Source organism: Homo sapiens, chromosome 4 (genome assembly GCF_000001405.40).
Source record: "Homo sapiens chromosome 4, GRCh38.p14 Primary Assembly".
In the NCBI taxonomy this organism is placed as follows: domain Eukaryota; kingdom Metazoa; phylum Chordata; class Mammalia; order Primates; family Hominidae; genus Homo; species Homo sapiens.
This window is the reverse complement of record NC_000004.12, coordinates 10791614-10809418: the sequence shown is the minus strand read 5'-3', so window position 1 is coordinate 10809418 and position 17805 is coordinate 10791614. Positions and strand designations below refer to the sequence as shown.

At 39.4% G+C, this 17805-nt stretch overlaps 1 long non-coding RNA gene across 1 annotated transcript in view, besides 1 other annotated feature; it reads right to left on the bottom strand.

Moving 5' to 3' along the window:
* Window positions 1–481: 481 nt before the first annotated feature.
* LINC02498 (long intergenic non-protein coding RNA 2498) overlaps window positions 482–17805 on the bottom strand; it is a 71347-nt gene continuing 54023 nt past the window's right edge. Inside the window, exon 4 of the long non-coding RNA XR_925377.3 lies at window positions 482–692. This is a non-coding gene — a long non-coding RNA (long intergenic non-protein coding RNA 2498). The remainder of the gene's footprint in view (window positions 693–17805) is intronic.
* Window positions 2081–3280: an enhancer, noted in NCBI's record as "CDK7 strongly-dependent group 2 enhancer chr4:10807763-10808962 (GRCh37/hg19 assembly coordinates)". NCBI's record gives its function as "activates an origin of replication core promoter dependent on BRD2, BRD4, P300/CBP, MED14 and CDK7 cofactors, with strong dependence on CDK7, by STARR-seq in HCT116 cells {active_cell/tissue: HCT116}" and the evidence as "EXISTENCE:reporter gene assay evidence [ECO:0000049][PMID:35650434]".

Genomic DNA, 17805 nt, shown 5'->3' with positions numbered 1-17805 from the left:
AATCAGCTCAACACATTACTAAGTGATTGTGATTTGGTTGGTACAATATAGTACATCAATTTTGAGGTAATTGGTATCTACACAATATTAATTCTGTGAATCCATGAGTGTAATATATATCTTGCATATCTCCTTTTTGGGGTCTTTTTCAGTATATTTTAATTGAGTTCTGTGATTATCTCTTTGAAGGACTCATATGATTTTGTTATATTTGTTCTTAGATAATTATATTTTTATACTATTGTAAATTTTAAATTTGACTTCTGTATGTTGCCAGTATATAGAAATAGAATTGATTTCAATATTGACTTTTGTATCTAGCAACTGTGCTGAATTATCATCCTAACTTTATCTATAGTTTTTTGACATTTGCTGTAATCTATTGATACATAAGAAATGATTCCCAAACCCGGTGGCTTAAAGCACTAGTAATCATTTGTTATCTCTCATGGCTTCTGTGGGTCAGGAATTCAGACAGGGCAAAGTGGAAATGGCTGTATTTGCTTTACAATGTTTTCAGCTGGAAAGCTGAGGGCTGGAATCATCTGAAGCCTTGTTCACTTGCCAGCAGTTGATGCTGACTATTAGCTAAGACCTTAGCTAAGGCTGTCAGCTGGAACACCCCCAAAAGGCCTCCTCATGTGCTCTGGGATTCCTTCCAACATGGTGGCCAGGTTCCAAAAGTGAGTGTTCTGAAAGAGAGAGAGTGAAAAGAGAGTGAACCATAACATTACTTCTCCTGAATTCCATTGATCTGGGCAGTCATTCATTCCCTCCCAGCTTAAAGGAGAGGGAGCAAGATGATCTCTCTCAGTGGGAGGAGTCTCAGGTACATGGAAAGCAGCATATGAGATGGTATTGGTGGGGCCATGTTGAAATAGTTTGCAACAATATTGTTAAAAATAACAGAAAAATTATCTGTAAATAATGACAGTTTTGTTTCTTCTTTTATCATCCTTATTTCTTTTCCTTCTTTTTTTCCTTGCCATACTACACTAGCAAGCCACTTTAATATTATGTCAAATAGAAGGGATCAGAAGGAGAAACTTCTCCTCATCACAGAAAAGAATGCTTTTAAACATTCCATTACTAAGAATGACTTTTGTTGCAGGTTTTTACAGAAGTAAATATGATTATGTGAAACTCATGTCCCCAGCAAGGAAGGATTACTGCTCAGCTGTAGAGATGTATTCAGCAGACGGCCTCTAGCTGATAACCCTTCAGGATCTGTGAAGATGCAGAGAGCTGCCCCAGCTGCAGTCACGTCCTGTCCAGGGCAGCCCATCTCTGGAGACTGAGCAAGGTAGGAGTAGAAAGGCCTGGCCATTTTGGCCCAACACAGGATCATCTGACGGGAAGTACTAGCTTCAGAGCTCCCCACCATGTTTTCTGATGTTCATTTTGCCTGCATTGAAATTCACTTCTTCCTTTAACCAATCCTGCTTCCTATGATACATGTTGATTCCTAATAAATATCTTACAGCCATGTCAGCACCTGACTCCAAAAAATCCATCTTACAACTGTCAAGACAGATATGGTAGGATAAAGTGGTCAATGAGAGGGGTTTTGGAACTGGATGACCCACTGCCTGGCTGGAGGGGGACCCCATTCCTGGTAAAAGGTGGAAGAGAGCGAGGTTTCACAGAAGATGGTAGTCTAATCGTTACAACATTTGTTGAAGGCAAGCTGGGAGGCTACTTCAGTGGAAAAGAATACATCAAATACAGAGGCATATCTGGCATTTAAGATATCTGGAGAAAATAGTAGCTGTAATGTTAAGAGGATTGAATAATGGGTTAACCTGCTAGGGTACCATAATACAATACCACAGACTGGGTGGATTAAACAACAGAAAACCATTTGATCACAGTTCTGGGGACTGGAAGTTCAAGATCAAGGTGTCAGCAGTGTTGATTTCGTTTAAGGCCTCCCCCCTTGCCTTGGAGATGGCCGCCTTCTCACTGTGTCCTCACATGGCCTTTCCTCTGAGAGCACATGGAGAGAGAGCTATGGTATTTGTCCCTTTGCTTATCATCACAGCAGACCTATTGGATTAAGGCCTAATTCATGACTTCACTTAACCTTAATTATGTCCTTAAAGATTCTATCTCCTATGGTCACATGAGAGGCTAGGGCTTCAACATATGAGTTTTGTTGGTGGGGCACAATTCAGTCCATAACAGATGGCTCTTGCTAAGGACCATTGATGCATTACAAAATGATAATGAACAGCTGAAGTGAGTAATAGGCAATTAGTCGGAAGTCAGATGTGAAAGTCAGGGGGCCTCTTTACTTGTGTATACGGAAGCAGGGCAAAGGAAGCCAGAGGAGCAAGTGGGAATGTTTGAGTAGCACCACCCCAGGCTGCCATCAGTCAATACCTTGCACCAGGCAGAACACTCCAGCCATGCACACTACAGCAGCAGCCCCTTCATGGTCCTGTTGGCTCCTGTTTCTGAGGGGAAACTGGAAAGAGGACATTAGAAGAACAAGCTAAAGCCCCTATGTTGTCATTGGGCTCAGGCTGCATCTGGTACTTATGGTCTGCCCCTTTGACATCTATTCAGCAGGCCAAGGTGGCTTACCAGCAGGACTGAAAGATATGACCCAATCCTTCACTTCTGGGTGGTTGGAACAGCGCTCATCCATTCATAATTGCAAATTGATCAGCCAATTTCCTTGTGATTCCTCCAGCTCCTAATGTGAACTGTAGCCTTGATGCCTTTTGCCCAGCTGGTCAATTAGCCATGCCAGTTGGTGACTCCGCCTCTCCTATGTCACTTTAAATCATGCTATAATGCACAACAGTGTGTGTACATCTTTTAGATTTTGTGGGGTTTTTCTAATCAGTTTGCCCTTGGGATATTTACTTAGAAGTATGTCAGGACAAAGAATGAATATGCATGGATTTTTAAAAATATAATGCCAACTTTCCCTCTATAGGTATTGTACCATTTTGAATTTATGCCAGCAGTATGAGGATGCTTGTTCTCCAAAACCCCACCAACAGAGAATGTCATCTAATTAAACATATTTTGTTTTTGTTTTAATTTTGAGGCTGATGTGATTTGAGAAAACCTGAGCTACACAAGGGATATATCTACTGCTTCCTACCATACCAATAAACTATGAGCCCCCTGTTGATATGGTTGGGCTGTGTCCCCACCCAAATCGCATCTTGAATTGAAACCCCCACAATTCCCATGTGTCATGAGAGGAACCCAGTGGGAGGTGATTGAATTGTGGCTTTCCTGAGCTGTTCTTGTGATAGTGGATGACTCTCACAAGATCTGACGGTTTTAAACAGGGGAGTTTTCCTGCATAAGCTCTCCTCTTCTCTTGTCTGCCGCCATATGAGTCATGACTTTCATCTTCCACCCTGATTGTGAGGCTTCCCCAGCCATGTAGAAATGTGAGTCCAATAAACCTCTTTCTTTTGTTAGTTGCCCAGTCTTGAGTATGTCTTTGTCAGCATTGTGAAAATGGACTAATACACCTGTGTATACTGATTTTTCCTCTGGAGAGTTGGAGAAAGAAACTCCACCACATAATTTGACTTTCAAGAAGAATTCATCGATAAAGCTAGTGTTTCATTCTGTCTTTGACCTTTGCCAAAGGTTTCTGTTTTCTGCCCCCTAAGACCTTGGAGAAACTGAGGTAGCGCAAGAAAGCTATTCAATGGGGTGATGGAAATAAACAAAGTAGGGTTTTCTTTATTTGCATGAGAAAGACTCATGTGGGCAAACTCTCTTTCTCTAAGTACGTAGGGGAAGTTTCAGGGAACAGATGATAGGCATCAAATTTCACAGAAGGCTAACCATTATTTTCCAGAGTATCCCACTGGCAATTATTATATTTGTATTAGTCAGGGTTCCCTGGAGAAAAAAAAAAAGGAATCAATGGGTGAAAGAGAGAGAGAGAGAGGGAGACTTCTTATGAGAGAATGGCTCATGGGATTATGGAGGCTAAGAAGTCCCATCGTCTTTTGTGTGCAAGCTGGAGACCCAGGAACCCTGGTGGTGTAATTCAATCGAAGTCCAATGGCCTGAGAACCAGGGGAGCCAATGTTGCAAATCCTGGTCTTGGTCCAAATCCAAAGTCCTGAGAACCAGGAGCTCTGTTGTCCAAACGCAGGAGAAGATGTATGTCCCAGCTCAAGCATAAAAAGCCTTCCTCCACCTTTCTGTTCTGTCTGAGCCCTCAACAGATTGGATGATGCCCACCCACATTAGTGAGGGCAAATCGTTTTTACTGGGTCCACTGATTCAAATGCTAATCTCTTATGGAAAGACCTTCACAGAAACACCAAGAAATGATGTATTACCAGCCATCTGAGCATTCCTTAGCCCAGTGAAGCTGGCTTACAAAAGTAACCATCACATTATTGAAACAAAAGATGCCAGAGCTGATGGAGACTTTGGTTATTACCAACCTCTCCCACTATTTAAAAAATAAAAAAAAATAAAAAATAAAACATGACCTCTGTCAAAGATAAACAAAGCTAGGCACTGGTTAAAGTGGTGCAGATGGATTTTAATCCATAATAACCATTGCATTAGGGAAAGGGTTCATCATGAACTGGACTCAACTTTGATTTGTAACAGAGGTGACTGGATGTTTCAAAGGGAGAATAAGGGTGCAGGGAAGTGGGTGAGCAGAGCTCAGTCGAGCCAGAGAACTGAAAAATTACAAAAAGTGTGTAGTGGGGGTTGGTCCGTGTAACACCCATTTGGGTTTGCTAACTGGTGCTTATGGAATTTAGGCTTCTAGATTCTCACAGAGACTGGGTGACAGGGGGCCTCTCTTCACATGTTGGCTGGAACAAGCAGTAAATTCTTCTGGCAACCTTGAGCTTTCTCAGGCAGGCACTTTCAAGTGGGCTAAAGTCATCCCTTGGATTTGGTTGAGCTATTAAAAACTACGTTAGTGTCTGTTCAAATCTTTATAGGTTAAAGTTGAGGTCTAGTTGAGAAGATGGCTCACAGGAGACTGGCTACTGTTTGGTCAAGCAGAGAATCTCTGTCACCTTTCAAGATCAAAAACACCTGGTGCACAGGCAATCAAAAAAATAGAAATAAAAATTTAAAAAAGAGACTGGACCAGACCTTCACTTACTGACTGCCATTGGCCAGTAACATTTTATTGTCAGGAAGTTTCCACTTTCAAAGAGTATTTACTCACCCACACAAAGAGCCACTCAGTATAGACAGCCAACAACTTTAGCCATTCTGGTTAAAATAAAACAATAATATGAATCCTCCTTTCAGTTCCTCCAATGAAAGTGACATATGGAGAAGCACACGATCCATAATTCAAAGAGAAGTGCTGCCTACTTCCTCATTAGCTAAATTGCATTCATTGCAGAAAGCTGCTTTTGGTAGCCATATCGATCAGCAGGAAGTAAGATGGAAAAAAATTAACAAACTTGAAAAACTTCAGTCTCTGGGGTGTAACTCACCATCTGGGAATGACTTATTAGGAAAGAATCAAGAAAACACTGTCCGCATATGACCTTCCCATTTTACATATGCAGTCAGTCCTCATTAATCTGAGACCCACCAAAGTGGAGTCTGCAATAATTCAGAAGTGACAATTGCAATCCCCGCTGAAGAGAAGGTTCCATGCAAAACATTTAATGTAGGACTGTAAAGTCTCTAATAAAAGTCAGGAGTGTTTTCCTTCACTTCTTTGTTTTTATGTGCAATCACATATATAATACAATGTGAACAATGGGCAAAAATGATATATTTAATTCCTTGTTTTACATTCCCACATTTCAGTTGCTTTGATAAATTAATCTCACTTTCCTCATTTTAAATTAATACCACTTTATATAATAAGAACAAGATTCTTTTTATTGGGGGATAGTTTATCTTCAAAAGCTTTTTTCAGCCTAAGTAACAGAGAGAGATTTTAAAAATAAATGGCAAGGTAAAAATGCAATAAAATGAAGGTCTTAGTCACAGAACTCTGCCCTGAGAAATTCACACACACACACACACACACACACAAATACTTCATAAAACAAAATCCACATTATCTTTCCTTTTGTGTATTCTAATAATTGAACAATTAGTTCTCTGCCAGTAAATTAAAATAAAATTACATTCTTCTAAATATCCATTATCCAAGTAATTTTTAATAATTTCCTGTTTACTGGCACTTTCAGAATTGTTTTTATTTTACTTAGTTTTTTGTTTAATTGGTTCACTCCCTCAGATGAAGCTTAAATGTGTTGAATAAAGATGCAAGCTCTTTCTAAAGAATATGAATTGACCCAAATAATTGAGTGAGAACTTGAAGTTAACGGGAGAGGGGATCTATTATGTGGCAGAAACAATAGTAGTAGTAAATAGCATATAATTATTCATCTCTTCCATTCACACTTCCGTGTTTGTTATAAATTTCCAATTTGTTGTGAAGTGATTTCAAATTAAAGCTAATTATCAATGCTTTTATTGAAGCAAATCTATAATAAATGTCTCTTGTCAAAGCACTCTGCCAAGGAAAACCCAGAGAGAAATAAGACCTAGACTCTGCCATCTGAGGGACCTGCATTCTCGTTAGAGCAAAAAAATGAGTATAGAAATCATAGGTGGTGTTGTATTAGTTTTCTAGGGCTGCTGGAACAAATTACCACAAAATTGGTGACTTAAAACAACAGAAATTTATTTTCACACAGTTCTTGGGGCCAGACGTCCAAAATCCAGCTGTTAGCAGGGTCATGGTCCCCACAGAGCTTCCAGGGGTGGATCCTTCCTTGCCTCTCCCAGTTTCTGGTGGCTGTGGCCATTCCTGGTGATCATTGGCTTTTAGATGCATTAGTCCAGTCTCTGCCTCCATCTTCAAAAGGTGTTCTCTGTGTCTCAAAATGGCCTGTCATCCTCTTGTAAGGACACCAGTCATTAGATTTAAGACCCACCCTCATCTAGTGTGGTGTTATCTTAATTTGATAATGCCTAGAAATACTGTTTCCAAATAATGTCATATTCAGAGGTTCTGAGCGGACATAGAACTATTCAGTCTGCTATACATGGTAAAACAAATGGTGTAGGAGGAAGAGGGGTAGAGCCAGAGTTGGATTGGGACCCATAAGTTAAGAGCAAGATGGAATAAAAGGCATGATTCTAGTCATCATGGAAAATAGAACTATGTGGGCTTTTATCATCTGATCCCAGCCAGTCTGCCCATCCTTAGCACAGAAAAACATTTATTCTGGTCGCACCAAACTACTCACTTCTCCTAGAATATGTGGTAATCTCTTAAACTTGTAAAAAAATTAGAATATATTTGTCTTCTTAGTCTCCACTGAGATCCCAAAATGTCCCAGGTTTGGGACAATGGGGATAAATTGCACCTGTATTTTACAGAAAAGGACTAAGTCCATTTCTGCTAGACTTGCTAAGAGATAGGCAAAGCAAGTCCTGAGACCTTTAGCCCAAAACTCTCCACCAACCTCTATGTCTACCAGCAAAACTGGAGATTCATTGATATAGTTAGGTTTTATGTCCCCACCCAAATCTCATCTTGAATTGTACTCTCCATAATCCCAGGGAGACATCAGGTGGAAGTCATTGAATTATGGGGGCAGTTTCCCTCATGCTGTTCTCATGATAGTGAGTGAATTCTCAAGAGATCTGATGGTTTTATAAGGGGTTCTTCCACCTTCGCTCAGTACTTCTCCTTCCTGCCACTTTGTGAAGAAGATGCCCTTTGCCTTCCACCATGATTGTGAGTTTCCTGAGGCCTTCCCAGTCATGCTGAATTGTCAGTCAATTTAACCTTTTTCCTTTATAAATTACCTAGTCTCAGTCAATTCTTTATAGCAGCATGAAAATGGACTAATACATTCATTAAGCAGATTGACTGGTAAGTTTTTCAAGAAAGTAGTCAGTCTAGAAGGATGGGGAAAGGCATTTTTCTCCTCTCCCTGTGAGGATGGGAGGAAGAATGTGAAGGAAGTCTATGTCCCAGTTCTTACATGTGGCTCGACAGGGCACACTGAGAGAGATTTCTGATAAATTGACTTGTGCCTTGAAGACTTGAAGGGAATGGTACTGGCTACTTGCCTGTAGGGGACAGGCTGGCTGGAACTGGCCCAGCAGCAGCAGAGAAAAGAGAGCTGCACTGGGAACTGCCTCACCAGCATGGCAAGGGGAAGGCTTTCTGTGTGCCTCAGGGTGCTGAGAGCAGCACCCAGACTAGGGTGGTCAAAAAAAGATCTATTTTCAAGAGGCCTATCTGCAGGAGAAAGCAGATACCAGCAGAAAGTGGCTAGAGGCATCCCACCAGAAGTAGGAATTGAGGCAAAGTCATAAGACATCAGTAGGATTAAGCATAGTCCTTCTCAGGAAATACTGAAGAATGAGGAATCCCAGACATTGTGAGGTAACAAACCCCTAAAACACACAGAAGGGAAGGGTCAGTACTAAGGGTATTTAACAGGTGTGTGTGGAGGGTAGGAACTACAACTGTGCTGGCTACCTAAAACTGTACCATGTTTTTCCTTGTTTACCCTCACACATGGTAGAGAAGCCGGAAAAAGATGACCCAACACAGAGAGAGTGAAAGAAAAATCAATAAGGATAAGAGAAGAGGTGATGATGTGCGGATATCTCTCTCTCTTTCTCTCTCTCTCTGTCTCTCTCTCTCTCTCTCTCACACACACACACACACACACACACACACACACACACACACCTCCTTAGCTTAGTTCTCAGTACAATAACCGAGAACAAAGACTTCTTTCTCACTTATGTCTATCCCAGGAGCTCTGCTAATTACACCACAAAAACCCAGGCTGATCAGGCACTACAATTTTGAATACTGGAATAGAAAATGAGAATGTAGCAAAGCATAAACTTATTATTATAGCTCCCACCTAGAAGTTACACACTTTATTGGCTAAAGTAAGTCACATGGCTATAATTAACTTTAAGTAGCTGTCAAAGTCATCTTATCTTCTCTGTCTAGGAAGGAGAACTGGAATGTTTGTGAGCAGCTCAATGGACTACTGAAATGAGTAAGCCCAACAGAAAGAACAGGCTGCACTCTCCCTTTCTCTCTTCTGGCTTCAGAGCCAGTTCAGGCCTAAGGTAAGGAAGAAGAAAAACTTAAAATTGTATGACACATTGGAGTTTCGATTAAAATTGGACTGAACTTTTTAATATCTGAAAATATTTTTTAAATAGCTTCTGCTATTCTAGATTATTCTTCAGCATTTTACTCCTGTTTCCTCCTTACTATAGGCAGAGACTAAGTCTTTGCCCTTTGATGTTGGTCTTGGACGTGTGACTTGCTTTGGCCACTGGGAATTTGGCAGGCATGATGTGAGCCGGAACTTTTCATAGCCTTGTGTAGTCTGGCTTTTCTCTTGTATGTTGGAGATTGGGCATTGATATAGTAGCTCTGTGTCCCCACCCAAATCTCACCTTGAATTGTAATACACATAATCCCCACGTGTCAAGGGTGGGACCAGGTGGAGGTAATTGAATAATGGGAGAGGTTTCCCCCATGCTGTTCTTGTGATAATGAGTGAGTCTCACAAGATCTGATGGTTTTATAAGCATCTGGCATTTCCCCGGCTTGCACTTCTCCTTCCTGCTGCCTTGTGAAGTCGGTACCTTGCTTCCCCTTCGCCTTCTACCATGATTGTAAATTTCCTGAGACCTCCTCAGCCATGCTGAACTGTGGTCAATTAAACCACTTTCCTTTTTAAATTACCCAGTCTCGGGTATGTCTTTATTAGCAGTGTGAGAATGGACTAATATAGGCATATCTCATGATAGCGGTATTATCACTGTCCCTCAGCATTGAGCAGACTGAGAGCCCATGGCCAAATCCAGCTAATCCATGGCCAGGGAGCTACCCATCCAAGCCTAGTCTAGTCTGGATGAACCACAGTTTCCCTGCAGGCAGTGAGAGTGAGAATAATTGCTTAATGAAGGAAACCACTGAGTTTACAATAATTGAGTTTGTTACGGAAATAGCTGAAGAATACATGCCTAAAATGATTTAAAACCTCCTTGCAAATACAACTTCCATTTTGGAAACGGAGATATTGTTAAGTAGGTAGCTAGTCAGTCATGAGCAGGGCAGAAAAGTTCCCACACCCCCAACCAGGAATGTCAGGTGACTATTAGGTGATGTTCAGGTCGTTGTTACACTGTTTCTCTAAAATAATAATTGGTCACAGTCAGAGCCAGGGAAAGGCAGACCCCCAGTAGACAGAAACATCTGAAACTGGTGATCAGCATCTTCCTGATAAGATCTCAGAACTTGGACGAGTGGGCTCATGCATGTGCACTAAGAGGTAAAATGGTGGAGTTTAACTGCTATATGACCTTCTAGGAACATTAGAACTGGTAAGGGAAGAATGCCTCAAATGAGCATATGTACAATTCCAGTAAACACAATACACATGCAGCCCCTCTCAAGGGCTGGCAGGCCACTGAGCATGTAGGTAGCCCACTCCAAGGGAAGAGTCAGGAGAGAAGGGATGCAATCCCCCCAAAAGCATGCCAATCTATAAGAACCCTAAGTCAAAGGTCGAACCACACATCTGATCTCTCAAGTCATCCACTTGGCCCTCTTCTAAGTACTTTACTTCCTTTCATTCCTGCTGGAATGCTTTTTTTCCCCATAAGTCATTGGGGTACAGGTGGTATTTGGTTACATGAGGAAGTTCTTTAGTGGTGATTTGTGAGATTTTGGTGCACCCATCATCTGAGCAGTATACGCTGTACCATATTTGTAGTCTTTTATCCCTCACCTCCTTCCCATACTTCCCCACAAGTCCCAAAGTCCATTGTGTCATTCTTATGCCTTTGCGTCCTCAAAACTTAGCTCCCATATATCACTGAGAATATACGATGTTTGATTTTCCATTCCTGGGTTACTTCACTTAGAATAAAGTCTCCAATCTCATTCAGGTCGCTGAAAATGCCATTAATTCATTTTTTTGGCCTAGTAGTATTCCATCATATAAATATACCACAGTTTCTTTATCCATTCATCGATTAATGGGCATTTGGGTTGGTTCCACAATTTTGCAACTGAGAATTGTGCTGCTATAAACATGCGTGTGCAAGTATCTTTTTTGTATAATGACTTCTTTTCCTCTGGGCAGATACCCAGCAGCGGGATTGCTGGATCAAATGGTAATTCTACTTTTAGTTCTTTAAGGAATCTCTACACTGTTTTCCATAGTGGTTGTACTAGTTTACATTCCCACCAGAAGAATAGAAGTGTTCCCTGTTCACCACATCCATGCCAACATCCTTTGCTTTTTTTATTTTTTGATTATATTCAGGCTTTCAGAAGTAAGGTGGTATCACATTGTGGCTTTGATTTTCATTTCCCTGATCATTAGTGATGCTGAGAATTTTCTCATGTTTGTTGGCTATTTGTATATCTTCTTTTGAGAATTGTCTATTCGTGTCTTTAGCCCACTTTTTGATGGGATTTTTTTTTTAAGTTACTGATTTGCTTGACTTCATTGTAGATTCTGGATATTAATCCTTTGTCAGATATATGGATTGTGAAGATTTTCTCCCACTCTGTGGGTTGTCTATTTACTCTGGTGACTGTTCCTTTTGCCCTGCAAAAGCTCTTTAGTTTAATTAGGTCCCAGCTATTTATCTTTGTTTTTATTGCATTTGCTTTTGTGTTCTTGGTCATGAAATCCTCGCCTAAGCCAATGTCTAGAAGGGTTTTTCCAGTGTTACTTTCTAGAATTTTTATAGTTTCAGGTCTTAGATTTAAACCCTTAATCCATCTTGAGTTGATTTTTGTATAAGGTGAGAGATGAGGATCCAATTTCATTCTCCTGCATGTGACTAGCCAATTATCCCAGCATAATTTGTTGAAAAGGGTGTCTTTCCCCACTTTAGGTTTTTGCCTGCTTTGTCAAAGATCAGTTGGCTCTAAGTATTTGGGTTTATGTCTGGATTCTCTATTCTGTTCCATTGGTCTATATGCCTATTTTTATACAAGTACCACGCTGTTTTGGTGACTGTGGCCTTACAGTATAGTTTGAAATCAGATTGTGTATGCCTCCAGATTTATTCCTTTTGCTTAGTCTTGCTTTGGCCATGCAGGCTCTTCTTTGGTTCTAAATGAATTTTAGATTTTTTTTTCTAATTCTGTGAAGAATGATGGTGTATTTTGATGGGGATTGCATTGAATTTGTAGATTGCTTTTGGCAGTGTGGTTATTTTCACAATATTGTTTCTACCTAATCATGAGCATGGGATGTGTTTCCATTTGTTTGTGTTATCTATGATTTATTTTAGTAGTGTTTTGTAGTTTTCCCTGTAGAGGTCTTTCACCTCCTTGGTTAGGTATATTACTAAGTATTTTATTGTTTGCAGCTATTGTAAAAGCAATTGAGTTCTTGATTTTATTCTCCGCTTGGTTGCTGTTAGTGTATAGAGGAGCTACTGATTTGTGTACATTAATCTTTGCTGAATTCTTTTATCAGTTCTAGGAGCTTTCTGGATGAGTCTTTAGGGCTTTCAAGGTAAATGATCACATCATCAGCAAACAGGGACAGTTTGACTTCCTCTTTACTTATTTGGATGCCCTTTATTTCTTTCTCCTTTCTGATTGCTCTTACTAGGACCTCCAGTACTATGTTGAAGAGGAGTGATGAGAGTGGGCATCCTTGTCTTGTTCCAGTTTTCAGAAGGAATGCTTTCAACTTTTCCTCATTCAATAGTATGTTGGCTGTGGGTTCATCATAGATGTCTTTTATTACATTGAGGTATGTCCCTTGCATGCCGAGTTTGCAGAGAGTTTTAATCATAAAGTGATGCTGGATATTGTTAAATGCTTTTTCTGCATCTATTGAGAAGGTCATGTGATTTTTATTTTTAAATCTGTTTATGTAGTGTATGATTTTTATTGACTTGTGTATGTTAAACCATCCCTGCATTCCTTGTATGAAACCCACTTGATCATAGTGGATTATCTTTTTGATATGTTGTTGGATTTGGTTAGCTAGTGTTTTGTTAAGGATTTTAGCATCTATATTCATCAAGGATATTGGTCTGTAGTTTTCCTTTTGGGTTATGTCCTTTCCTGGTTTTGGTATTAGGGTGATTCTTGCTTCATAGAATTAATCAGGAAGGCACCAAAGAAAGGCGAAGCCCAATGCAAAGAAATCCAAAAAAAAAGATACAAGAAGTGAAGGGAGAAATATTCAATGAAATAGATATGATAGATAGCATGAATAAAAAACAATCAAAATGTCAAGAAACATTGGATACACTTATAGAAATGCTCTGGAAAGTCTCAGTGATAGAATCGAAAAAGTAGAAGAAAGAAATTCGGAGCTTGAAGACAAGGTCTTTGAATTAAACCAATCCAACAAAGAGAAAGAAAAAAGAATAAGAAAATATGAACAAAGCCTCCAAGAAATCTGGGATTATGCTAAGCAACCAAACCTAAGAATAATCAGCATTCCTGAGGAAGAAGAGAAATCTGAAAGTTTGGAAAACATGTTTCAGGGAATAATTGAGGAAATCTTCCCCAGCCTTGCTGGAGACCTAGGCATCCAAATACAAGAATCACAAAGAACATCTGGGAAATTCATCACAAAAAGATCATCACCTAGGCACATTGTCATCAGGTTATCTAAAGTTAAGACAAAAGAAAGAATCTTAAGAGCTGTGAGACAAAAGCACCAGGTAACCTGTAAAAGAAAACCTATCAGATTAACAGCAGATTTCTCAGCAGAAACCCTACAAGCTAGAAGGGATTGGGGCCCTATCTTCAGCCTCCTCAAGCAAAACAATCATCAGCCAAGAATTTTGTATACAGGAAAACTAAGCATCAAATATGAAGGAAAGATACAGTCTTTTTCAGGCAAACAAATGCTGAGAGAATTCGCCACTACCAAGCCACCACTACAAGAACTGCCAAAAGGAGCTTTAAGTCTTGAAACAAATCCTGGAAACACATCAGAGCAGAACCTCTTTAAAGCATAAATCTCACATGATCTATAAAACAAAAATAGATTTTAAAATACAAAAAACAAAACAAGAAAAAGTACACAGGCAACAAACAGCACGATGACTGGAATGGTACCTCACATCTCAATACTAACAATGAATGTAAATGGCCTAAATGCTCCACTTATCTGCTGCCTTCAAGAGACTCACTTAATACATAAGAACTCACATAAACTTAAAGTAAAGGGTTGGAAAAAGGCATTTCATGCAAATGGGTATCAAAAGCTAGCAGAAGTAGCTTTTCTTATATCAGACAAAATGAACTTTAAAGCAACAGCAGGTAAAAAAGACAAAGAGGGACATTATATAATGGTAAAAGCCCTTGTCCAACAGGAAAATACTACAATCCTAAACATATATGCACCTAACACTGGAGCTCCCAAATTTATTAAACAATTGCTAATATACCTAAGAAATGAGAGAGACAGCAACACAATAACAGTGGGGGACTTCAATACTCCACTGACAGCACTAGACAGCTCATCAAGACAGAAGGTCAACAAAGAAACAATAGATTTAAACTATACCTCGGAACAAATGGACTTAACAGATATATACAGAACATTTAATCCAACAAACACAGAATACACATTCTATTCAACAGGGCATGGAACTTTCTCTAAGACAGACCATATGATAGGTCATAAAACAAGCCTCAATAAATTTAAGAAAATTGAAATTATATCAAGCACTCTCTCAGACCACAGTGGAATAAAACTGGAAACCAACTCCAAAAAGAATCTTCAAAACCCTGCAAATACATGGAAATTAAATAACCTGCTCCTGAAGGAGAATTGGGTAAAAGAAGAAATCAAGATGGAAATTTAAAAATTCTTCAAACTGAATGATGAAAATGACACGACCTTTCAAAACCTCTGGGATACAGAAAATGCAGTGCTAAGAGGAAATTTCATAGCCCTTAATGCCTACGTCAAAAAGACTGAAAGAGCACAAACAGACAATCTAAGGTTACACCTCAAGGAACTAGAGAAACAAGAACAAAGCAAACTTAACCCAGCAGAAGAAAGGAAATAACCCAGATCAGAGGAGAACTAAGTGAAATTGAAACAAACAAACAAACAAACAAACAAAAACCACAAAAGAGAAATGAAACAAAAAGACAGTTCTTTGAAAAGATAAATAAAATTGACAGACAATTAACAAGATTAACCAAGAAAAGAAGAGAGAAAATCCAAATAACCTCATTAAGAAACAAAACAGGAGATATTACAACTGACACCACTGAAATACAAAAGATCATTCAAGGCTATTATGAACACCTTTACACACATAAACTAGAAAACCTAGAAGAGATGGATAAATTTCTGGAAAAATACAACCCTCCTAGCTTAAATCAGGAATAATTAGACACCCCAATAACAAGCAGTGAGATTGAAATTATAATTTAAAAAATTACCAACAAAAAAAAGTCCAGGACCAGACAGATTCACAGCAGAATTATACCAGACATTCAAAGAAGAATTGGTACCAATCCTTTTGACACTACTCTAATGCTTTTTAATAAACTTTCACTCCTGCTTTAAAACTTTCCTTGGTCTCTCCTTCTGCCTTATGCTCCTCGTTCAAATTCTTTCTTTTGAGGAGGGAAGAATTGAGGTTGCCTCAGACCATACGAATTCACCTCTGCTAACATACTTTGGTGCTGTGACTCAGACATGTTTCCCAATGGGAAGACCCTGGAATATGTTCCCCAGTGGTAAGTGGGTGACTTGAGAGATCAAGTACTTGGCTTGGCCTTTGCCTTTGGGTTTTATACATTGGTGTGCTTCTGAGAGGCTGCATCCCTTCTCCCCCGATTCTCTTGGCCTGGGCTCTCCGCATGCTCACCGGCCTGCCAGCACTTGGGAGGGGACGCACGTTCAGTGTGTTTACTGGAATTGTATGCAGGCTCACTTGAGGCCTTCTTCCCTCTCCAGTTTGCATGTTCCTGGAAGGTCATATAGGAGTTAAACTCCACCATTTCGCCTCTTAGGGCACATGTGTGAGCCTACTCTCCCAACTCCTGAGATCTTATCAGAAAGCTGCTGATCACCAGTTTTAGATGCTTCTGTCTATGGGGGACTGCCTGTCCCTGGCTCTGGCTGCTACCAATTATTACTTTAGAGAAACAGTGTAACAACCACCTGACCATCACCTGATGATCCCCTGACATCGGGTAGGTGGCCCTGCGGGAAACGGCTCTCCTGCCCTGCTCATGTCTGACTAGCTACCTACTGTAACAAGATGACAAAATAGGCTTGATAGTGGATAAACAAATATTTTCAAATAGTTTTTAGGCTACGCACTATGAGTGAAGCTCACTCAACAAATCAGTTCCTGCTCTTCCCCTCTACTAATTCTGTATTTCTTTTATCCTGCAAGTTTTCTCTATGTAAAACATCCCTATTATTCCTTAAAGACCCAATTAACATGTTGCCTCCTCAGTGAATAATTTCCTGATTTGGGCAGTCAAAGAGCACTTTGCTCAACTTTCCATTTTAGGACTTGATGTTTTAAATCAAGACAGATTGGATTTTCTGTCTCCTGATGTACTAGAAGAACTGTATATATTTCTTTCAAAATCTGTCTTCCCTCTTAGACTGTATGCTTATTATTCGTTCATTCCATCATTTACTTAATATATTTACAGATTTCCTATTGATGGTAAAGCATGATCAAGACAGAAAAGTGTAAATCATTGCCCTCAAAGTCTTTAAATGTATTTACATGTTTGTTAGGCTATGTAGTGGAGGCAACTGCATGGAAGAAATTCATTGGTGGAGATAGATTAAGCTCAATATTGAGTTTAATGTGCTTTGGAGGACAGCCAAAGGGAAAGAACCAAGAGACATTGAATTTACATGGGTTTAGAACAAAGATCATGGCTACCAAATAAAAACTCATCTATATGTGATAGCTATGAATTTGGATGACATGATACACGCTGTATACTTAAGTTAAAAGATGTCACAGAAATCTCGAAGAATAACTAAAACACCAAAATGGAAGCTGCTTGAGATCAGAAATATTTTCCATTCATGGTTGGATCCTCATTACCTGGAACAGTGCTCAACACATCCTAAGAAGATGTTCATTTAAGTTTTAGGAAAGGTTCAAATAAATGAATGACTTTAAGGACCAGAGAAACATAAACATAAAATGAGACCACTAAGAGGTTCCTGAATCATGATTTGAACCAGGGTCTCTCAGTTCAAAGTCTTTGCTCTCTCTATCATATCCGACTGCCTTATAAAAGGCAAAATGGTGACATAAGAAAAGAGTAAAGGCAAAAATGAAGTAACATATGCATATAGCTGAGCTAGACAATGTAAAGTCAAGCCCAATGTGTTTTTCTTCCACAATTTCATGTGATTGTTTTAAGGACAATGGGGAGTCTTCATTTCTGATGTATAAGTTCCCCAAAGAAAAAAGCTTTGTATAATCACTTGATCAAAAATTAGACTTGTGATGAGAAGGCTGAATGCCTATTTGCATTTCTCTTCATTGCTCAAACACACACACATGCACCACTGATATACAAGAGATAGGAAGAGGTGATGAGAGGGGGAGAGAGGAAGGAAAAGAGAGAGAAAAAAAGAAGAAAATGATAGAAGAAAATAACAGACCCCATTTTCCTAAAACTTTGTCTTTTAAACCTAATTACACCAATAATGATGCACACTTATTTTAATGGAGATTTTGATTGTGTAATTATTAACACTTACAATGTGGCAGAGTATTATTCAGAAACTAATTACAAACTATGCTAGTTGAAAAGCCAGAGGGGATAAA